Consider the following 9,103-nt stretch of genomic DNA (forward strand, 5'->3'; position numbering starts at 1 on the left):
ATAAACTTCATCAGTATTCAGCCAAACCCTCCCCCGAAGTAAGCTAGGTATTTTTAACACTGCACTGCCTCTTTCAGTGGCTTGAGGATCCTATACTAAGTGGCACCCTTCCTTGCATCCCAGAAGAGTTTATCTATTATGGTCTGTGCGTGGATGCAGAAACTTCCTAATTGTTTCAGGAAACTTTAAGATGTTCATAATCAAGCCAGGTGCAGTAGTACATGCCTGTAGTCTCAGTTACTAAGAAGCCTGAGGCGGGAGGATCCCTTGAGCCCATCTCTTTAAGAAAAAAAAAAAAAAACTAAAAAAATAGTTCATAATCAAAATTAAAACACCCAATAACATTGTTAAGATGATTCTAGGCTAGGAGATTATAAATCCTCTGTACCATAATATTTCCTACTCATTTCCATCCTCTGACACAGAGTTTCAGAGAAAACATCTATGGTATAGAAGCTCTACCTGGGGCAGCCTGGAGTCCTCCACCACCTACAAGGGTGTGTGAAACCTGTACTCTCAGCTGTCAGTGGGTGCTGTACAGGGCTCCCTAGCTGACCACCAGGGCCCCAGTTCTGCGGACAAAACCATCACCAGGAAACCACAGCGCCATGCCACTGTTAATGTGCCATACTATGTAATGTGATAAGACAGTCTGTAATAATGACGTGTCAGTTAAGGCCATACAAATATGTTAGGAAAAAAAAATTGTTCTTGCACCAACACAGGGGAATTGTTACCTATAATTCCTTTTAGCATTAGCATGTAAGAGCTGGCGCAAAAAGCCGGCCTGACTAAACTGTGAGCTATGGTACATTTATTCCTCATCATGCCCCATTCCTCTCTTCTAAGGATTTCTTTAGACAATCTCCTTGATGTCTTTGCTCCAAAATCAAGAGAGAAATAATAATAACTGGGCTGTCACAAAAGAACATCAGGACTCCCAAGCTGAATTTCCAACACTACAATATCAAAGATAATCACAAGACAACTGCAGACTATATCATTAAGTCAAGTGGGACATCCCTGAGAAAGTCAGCTTCTGATGGTGTGGTTCCAGGGATGCTTTCCATATTCGTCCAGTGAAAACAACCTGTGCTTGGAAAGAGGGTTTCCTTTGGGGCAATCGAAATGTTCTTTGTTGACATTCTTGGAATTATTCCTTCTAACCCTAGAGTTTCCTAACTTTCAGGATTTAAGAGCCTCATGCCAAAGATACCCCTTCAATATATCTATGTAAGAGTTAGGACTACCTGGAGTTTCTGTCTACCATTAGATGGGAGAAAACTTATGTTATCATAATACAGTAAATAACTTACTTGAAAATATAATATCCTTCCTGAATATTCAAGAATGACTTTACCGCCAGGCATGGTGATTCACACCTGTAATCCTAGCACTTTGGGAGGCCGAGGCGGGTGGATTGTCTAAGCTCAGGAGTTTGAAACCAGCCTGGGCAACATGGTGAAACCCCGTCTCTACTAAAACACAAAAAATTAGCTGGGCATGGTGGTGCGCACCTGTAGTCCCAGTTCCCTGGGAGGCTGAGGCACAAGAATTGCTTGAACCCGGGAGGCAGAGGTTGTACTGAGCTGAGATCGTGCCACTGCACTCCAGCCTGGGAGACACAGCGAAGACTCTGTCTCAAAAAAAAAAAAAAAAAAAAAATGACTTTACATCCTCTTTAACTCCAAAGAAAGAATTAAGAAGAGCCTAAGCTCTGGATGAAATATTCCTATAAAGTAAAAATCTCAATTAACTAAAATCAACTAATTGAATTTCTATTTTGCTACTTGCAACTTAGACAACAAGGGAGGAAATAACAAAACATACTGATATTGAGCATTTAACAAAAAAAGAAAGAAAGAAAACAATTTCCAAGTGGGGATCAAGATAGATTTAGTCCAATCTCTGACACTGTGTCCATTTACAGTTCTATAATGTACAATTGGAATTCATACTCAGAACAGTGACCTTGTGGCACCATAAGATTCTCAAACCTCAAAGAAAGATTCAATTACATTCTCAGTGTTCTTTCTAGAGTAGGAAACGGGACTAGTACGTTTAGAAAACGTATTCAACAAGTAAAGGACAAAAAATACTTTGGGTTAATCTACTGTTAGTCAGAAAAACCAACTCATCAGTAATGTCCTGGCACCCTTAGAGAAAAATCATGGTTTACTGTGTATTAATCAACACTTAAACACTGATTCTCAGGTTTTTTTTAAAGCATTAATTTTAAAAATACAATTTTATTTTAACATACAGCCTAAAAAGATGGGTGAAAAATTTAACAGCTCATTTCTAAACCAACACTTCCTGCGTGAATTAGATATCAAAAAAAAAAAAACCACTAAAAAATGATAGAAGAGAAAATGAGAGACAGAGAGTATTATTCCTAAATTTTGAGTAAGGAAGATAATCTTCATATTCAGAAAAGTATTCCAAATTCTGGATGAGTATTCACTCCAACACTTGAAGGCCTTTCAAAAATACTCTCCTTGTTTCTGCACACTTTATCACTAATCTGGGATGAATGGGACAGGAATCTGTGAGCGAGCAGATGAGGTCTACCTCAAAGTCCCTGTATATTGGCTCATGGGAGACAATGAATGTGAACAGCCAGATATGTCATAATAGGAGAGGTGCGTTTCCTATAAATTTTTTTATTATTTGTTTTTGCACACATGGCAATCACATTACAGCTCTTTCCCCAGATACCTGGGAAATGTGGTTATGCATTTGGCTTCCACAGAAGTGTAAGCTAAGAAGCTCAATTCATCAAGTAGCCTGGGAAGATGAAGGGGGAAAGGAAGAGTAAACTCAGAACACATGGCACATGCTTAAGATACCATACCATATGAACCTCTAATAACCTCCAACTCCATCTCTCCTGTCAACATGGTACCGCAAGCTCCTAAACACAAAAATGGGAGAAGGTGGATCTTAATTCAGAAGTGACATGTCCAAGGAAAAGAACCCATGGGCTTGTCTCACTCGAATTCCAAAGGTTAGCTCTGGACAGAGGGCAGTTTGCTTCCAAAAGTGATTCAGCTGTCACTAAAAATCCTCAGAACATTTTTATCCGGAGGCACATCTATTACAATTAACATTCTCACGCCTCCCTGTGTCCCACTTCAGGAGTCTAGTGTGGAACCAGAAGTGTGTGCTACAGCCCCCACCTCTGCTACCTTGAAAACAAGCTGAAGGGTCTCATCGTTAGGGGCTTCAATGCAGGCTCCATACTTCAGTTTCAGACGTAGAGGCATTTTCTAAAGCCAAGGGCTCCTCACCATGCCAGTAGGTATTGGAAAATTCCAGCAGGTGACTAACATTAGAAGAGTCTCCTATAGATGTTTTGAACCACTCAGGACTTGAATTCTAGATTAATAATTCAATTTTTTTTAAGAAATAAGGGGGAAGCAACAGAAAAGGTTATCATAACTATCATCAAATGCCTTTTCTATAATTATTATATTACATTTTTAAAGGGTATTATTATAAATGTTTTTATGAGCAATTTACCGGAAAATTAAAGTCCTTTAGTTTAAAAAATAATTATTTTATCCCTCTGGCAAAGGCTTTTCTCCCAGTCAGCAGCTCTTTCAAACTATGGGGCATCATTTGTTCACTGTGGCGAGCCGGGTCCATGTGAGGAAAGTTGATCTGAGAATCAATCTCTAGAAAGGGCGCTAAATTGCTAGGTAAGAGCACCTACTAGAAAGTGAATCAGCCAAAACTGAAGGGGGCAAGAGAGGCCACGCACTTTCAAAGTCAAAGACGTATGTGGTTCTAGAAGTCCTCAGGGCTACACATAAACTACAGGCCCTGTTAACTGATTTTAAGTCAATCTAAGCTGAGCTTCCAGGGGGTTCGATCTCAACCCAACTGAGCTTTTCACTGTTAATCCCATCTTTTGGTTTCGATTTTTCCCTTAGGTCTGCCGGCCCTAAAAGCCTTCAACCTTCAGCACTGGTGTTCCAAACCAACTGTGTGGTGGTACACAGCCCTGTGTGGATGACTTCACTGAACTAAAATATGTAAGCTTCTGGCAAGCACATATAATAACGAGATTCTGAAAAAGGGTTTTTAACAACAGTTATGTCACGAGGCTCATGGCTCCCTGAAGTCCCTGAAAGCCTTGTTAAATTAAAGATTCGCTGTGGTTTTTTTTCCGCTTCATTCCTACTTCCCTTGTCGCTTCCTGCCTTTCTTTTTTCTCTTTCATTGTGTTGTTAAGATGGAACTGAGTGACACCAGCTATCATTAATATCACCTAGAAAATGGAAGAGTTTCATTAAAACTGCTAACATTCCCAGCAGTTTTATGGACAGGGGAAGGTCGTCTTTCAGATTATAAAGTCACACACCTGATTTTGTAAGCTCAGGCAATAAAGGTACACAGTGCATCCACACTTGGATTCCCAAGAGGGAGGAATTCAACAGTAGCCTCAAGTCTACCTAGGTAATGTCTCATGAGGTCACTGCAATGTCATGAGAATTCAGACCACAATTTCTGTGGACTTCAAACACTGACTGGGTAGAAGCTAAACCTGCTACCCTTTGGAAAGTATCTCCCAAATCAGAAAGCTTCCCATTTCACCCAATGCCAAGAACTCCACTCCACCCTCCTGGAGGTTGAAAATGCTAATCATAAGGTGATGATGTTTGCTTTTCCTTTCTAGTTGTGTGCCTTTATGTTTTAAGTATTTAAAAGGCATAATCACCTAGTGTGTAGGTTAATTTCTTTCCGATATTGTAATTTATGCAACATTAATACTGGATGCCAGCTCCAATTTTCTTACTGCTTACACTCTGGGAGCCGGCTTGCATATTCTGCCAACTCCATTACATCATCTGAAAACCCAAACATTTCCCATTTTCAAATCACTCTCAACTACCAGGCATACTTACACATTCTCTCTTTTTCTCCCTAGCTCACACACATAAAGATTGGTACCCCTGAGGAGCAGATGCTACATCTGAGGTTAAAGTCTGCAAATGCACATAATTTCTGGAAGCTATTACTACTGCTGTGTTAGCTAAAGGATGCCTCCATCTCTGACCTTCCTTTTTCCATTCAGACTGTTATATAACCTAGTGCCTGCGTGCAGGATGTGAGTTGAGTGTTTGGGCCTTACCACCCCCCTCCCATTAAATCTTCCAGGAGGGACAGACAGGGGCTGGTTCAAAGAATGAGTTGGGGTGGGGGCAGAGGGTGGGGGGAAGGGGATATGGGTCAGCAGGTCAGCTGTGCAAGATGTATCCCACTCCTACTATGCCCCTCTCCCCTTTTTGCTGAGCCTAAGGGGGCTGGTGGCACTGAATGCTCCGGCGTTACATAATTTGCAAGAACAGCAAGTTACGGATTTGCTAGTCGGCTCTGCAGCCTGCCACCCTGATCGCTTGCAAGAACACCTTCTGGCAAGAATGACACCTGAAGATGTTAATAACACAGGGTGTGGGGGGGTCAAGAAGGAGAAAGGTGGCAGCACAAACCAAAAATTAGTGCAGCTTCCTAAATACTATGTCCCCCCCATTCCAAAAAAAAAAAAAAAGCCCCAGAAACACATGAAGGGGATTTTCTCCAGTGTTTCTGATTAACCCTGTTACATAACCCGCTCGCATTCCAAATCCACCGTCTCAGGGTCTAAATATACTCTTTGCAGCCAAAAGCTCCCCGCACACAAACTCACCGAGCTAGCGGCAGGTCCAGGCCCCCAGCCCTCATCCCCTTCCCTTTTGTCCCAGCCCTCGCCGCCCCCCTCCCGCTGAAACCGCGGTTCGCCGCGGTCACCCTTTGGAAATCGCCTTTAATTAAATGTTTTTCGCGTGTGTCATCCTGATGGCTTTTACTGTACTCGAATTCCGTGAATGGGAAAGCGCCTGGACAGGGGGTGTGGCTAAGGTGGGGGGGGGGATACTGTAAAACAGCCAGCACATGATCAGCCATATTCCTACCTCCAACTACAACATCGAGAGGAAGGGAGCAGTTCCTGGGGCCCCCATTCGCCTCTACCCAGCCCTCCCCAACCGCCGCCAGAAGCCGAGTGCAAGAGGAGGGGGCGCGCTGGGCCGGTACCCAAGCCGGGGCTGGAGAAATCCTCTCCGTCCCCAGCTCCAGGCGGCTCGCGCGAGCACGCTTCCTCCGGAGTGACAGGCGCGATTTATACATTATTTACAACAGTAATTAAAGCTGTAGCTTCCTCCTGTTCTTTGCAAACTCCAGGCGCATTCAAATAAATAATCCCCCACTCTCGAGAAAAACACACATCAGGTTCCAATACCTTCAAGAAAGAGTGAGCTTTCCTCAACAGCTCACTTTAGGAAAGGAGGGAGCAACTGAGTCCCCCCCATCCCCCCCAACACACGCAGACACAGACCAAACACCAAAATGAAGAGTAAAAATCGCCAGGGGAGGAGAAAACATTGCTTGCACTATCCAACCAGCATACAACTTGCACTGACCATCCCCAGGTTCCTGCAGAAATGCTTGGAACCTCCGAGAGGGAAGGATTCCCAGAGCAGAAATAAGTTTCGGTGCTTGCTTTTGTAGACGCTCCCTCCGGATGCGCGTGGAGCGCCCCACAGGACCGCCGCCCTCTGCGCGTTGGCGCGCACACGCCCCCCGCCAGCCTGGGCGCCGGGCTCCGAACCCCCGGTCTGCAAACTTGCGCATCTCCCCTCGCCGCGCCCGCCAGACAACTTGGCGAACAGCTCGCCCGCCCGCACCCCGCTTCCTTCGGCCCTTCCTTCAAATCCCAAACGCACCGCCGTGCTCCAAAGAAGGTGTCCACGTCGCCCCCAGACCCCGGAGCGCCCCCTCTCCACCCCCGGGACTTCCCAGGTCGCTCACTCCTCCCGCCCCCCGCCCAGATCTGAGAGGGACCGAAAACACACCCCCGACTCGGGCAGCCAGGGCCGAAACTGTCAAGAGGAGAAAAGGTAAAGCGGAAGGAGGGTGGCCATAAACAGATTTTTTTGCCCCTTCTTAAAAGGACACTGCCGCTTTAAAAGTTTCTTTCCCGGGCCCCCACTCCCCGCATCTCCGTATTTTGGGGGAGCGTATTTAATTGAGGCAACGCAGCTTTCCTCCAGTGTTTGCAGAAAAATCAAAGCCAGGGGGGTGAGCCCGCCGGCTGTCAACCTTCCCGCCGCCTCCCCCGCCCCACTCTGCTCCCGCAAGCCGAGAACGGGCTGCAAAAGTTTGCAACATTTCTGGGGGGCGGAGGGGGGAGGGGAGGGGGGTCCTCCGGGCTCGGGGCGCCGCCGCAGGCTCGCGCGCGGCCGCCGGACCCCGCGCCCCGGGCGCCCGCTCCCGGCCGCCCCCCGCTCCGCGCCCGGGCTCCCGCCGCCCCCTCCCCAGCCCCTCTCCAGCCTCCTACCTCTGCTGGTGCTGGAATAGCTCTGTCTGCGCACCGGGGCAGGCGGCTCGCTCTTGCGGGCGGATTCCTGGTTCAGCGGGGTCTCCCTGGAGCCGGCGGCCGCGTCCGCGCCGCTGCTGCCTGGCTCGCTGGCGGCGGGGTCGGGGGCTGCCGGAGCTGACTCCATGTTTTTTCCCAATGTAGAGATCGCTGGAGATGGCGAGCTCCGAGACTCCCTCTATCTTCTGTTTTCAGAGCAACTCTATGGTACCAAAAAAAAAAAAAAAAAAAAAAAAAAAAAAAAAAAAAAAAAAAGAAGGAGAAGGCGACCGGCGAAAGCAGGAGGGAAAAAGCAGGCGGCGGCGGGCGGGCAAGCAAAAGCGCGAGGGAGCGCGCGGAGTGTCTGGGTGGACGTGTGTGTGCGCCCGAAAGGGGACAAGAGGCGGGTCTGGCCACAGGCAGCGCTAGCGAGAGCTTCTCCAGCCGGCCCCCACACCCACATTCCCCACCCTCCAGACCCCAGACCGAGAGCCACAGACTGGCTGCCAATTTTGGGAGGTGGGGAAAAGAGGGGAGGAGGAGAACAGAGCCTCCCGCGCCCCAATCCTCCCCTCTCCCCAGCCCAGGGACAGAAATTAAAATCGGTGAGATGATTCCGTGCCTACTTCTGAGACTCTCTCGGGAACAGAACTCGTCCCCATCCGCTGCCAGCTTGGGTAGAGACAAATCCGATTGTCCACGTCCACGTTGGGAAATCGCAGGTAGCCCCCTGCCAGCCCTGCCGAGGGCTGAGGAGAAACTAAAAAGGAATTAGAACGGGGCTGACATCCCAAGGAAGGCGGAGGATGGGAGGACGTGGCACTTTTTACTTTGGGATGGGACGGCCAGTGGGTTTCCAATCTTGGTTAAAGACATCTGTGTCTAAAACAGATTTTGTGAATCTAGAAGCGCCATGGACAGTTTCTGGCATGGTTGAAAGAGGTCGCTTTCAGCTCCTTTGCTGTTTGTCCGCGAAGGATCCAGAAACCATTTGGCAGGGCATTTTCTACTGAAGAAAACTTTGGCCTGTTTGGTCGACAACTATCTAAGCTGGATAAAACATGCCACGCTGCATCTAGCTCAAGCGTGGCTGCTAATTGTCAATTCCCACTGGTACTTTTCCTATTAAATGTACAGTCTCATCCATAAAAGGTAGATATACTGGAGAGGCATTACTAATGCCCGGATAACATTCAGATAATTAACAGCTCCTAATAATTCGTATTATTATAGGCATCATTCTACACCCTCCTCCCATTGAAATACATTCATCCCCTAGTAGGTACCTAAAACTCCAGGAAAGCAGATAATTGCATCATCGTTACCTTGACTGCAAACTCCAAGATGAAGGAACAATACAAATTGAAAGAATGGAAAATACTCCAATGGTAGTAGCCTGATTTGTCTGCCTTCATACTCAATCTACCACTTTCTTTTGCCTGCGAAGACACTGTGGAAATACGCCCCACCTTCCTTTCAAAAGGATCCAAAATTTTGACAATAAATAATATTATTAGAGGCCAGAAGGTGGCATAAATATATGTGCTTCAGAACGTGGGGTAGGCGGAGGGAATTGGGGGACATTTTTCTTTTGCTAACTTCCTGGTTTGGAAAAATGCTTTAAAAAATAGTAAGTGCGGGAAACCCAGTTAGCTAATCCTTCAGAGGAACCGCCATATGCCAAATTTCACACATAGTTTCTGT

General features: G+C 46.7%; 1 protein-coding gene and 1 long non-coding RNA gene across 4 annotated transcripts in view; both read right to left on the reverse strand.

Annotated features, from left to right (window-relative positions):
* LOC105370841 (uncharacterized) overlaps nucleotides 1–1,636 on the reverse strand; it is a 47,242-nt gene extending 45,606 nt beyond the window's left edge. For both annotated transcript variants that reach the window (XR_001751772.2, XR_007064661.1), the window contains exon 1: nucleotides 1,518–1,636. This is a non-coding gene — a long non-coding RNA (uncharacterized LOC105370841). The remainder of the gene's footprint in view (nucleotides 1–1,517) is intronic.
* Nucleotides 1–7,631, reverse strand: part of RORA (RAR related orphan receptor A) — a 741,019-nt gene extending 733,388 nt beyond the window's left edge. For both annotated transcript variants that reach the window (NM_134261.3, XM_047432928.1), the window contains exon 1: nucleotides 7,382–7,631. In NM_134261.3, coding sequence (NP_599023.1) covers nucleotides 7,382–7,547 — 166 coding nt within the window. In that variant the 5' untranslated portion in view covers nucleotides 7,548–7,631. The remainder of the gene's footprint in view (nucleotides 1–7,381) is intronic.

The sequence above is a fragment of the Homo sapiens genome, chromosome 15 (assembly GCF_000001405.40).
Source record: "Homo sapiens chromosome 15, GRCh38.p14 Primary Assembly".
NCBI classification, from domain to species: Eukaryota; Metazoa; Chordata; class Mammalia; order Primates; family Hominidae; genus Homo; species Homo sapiens.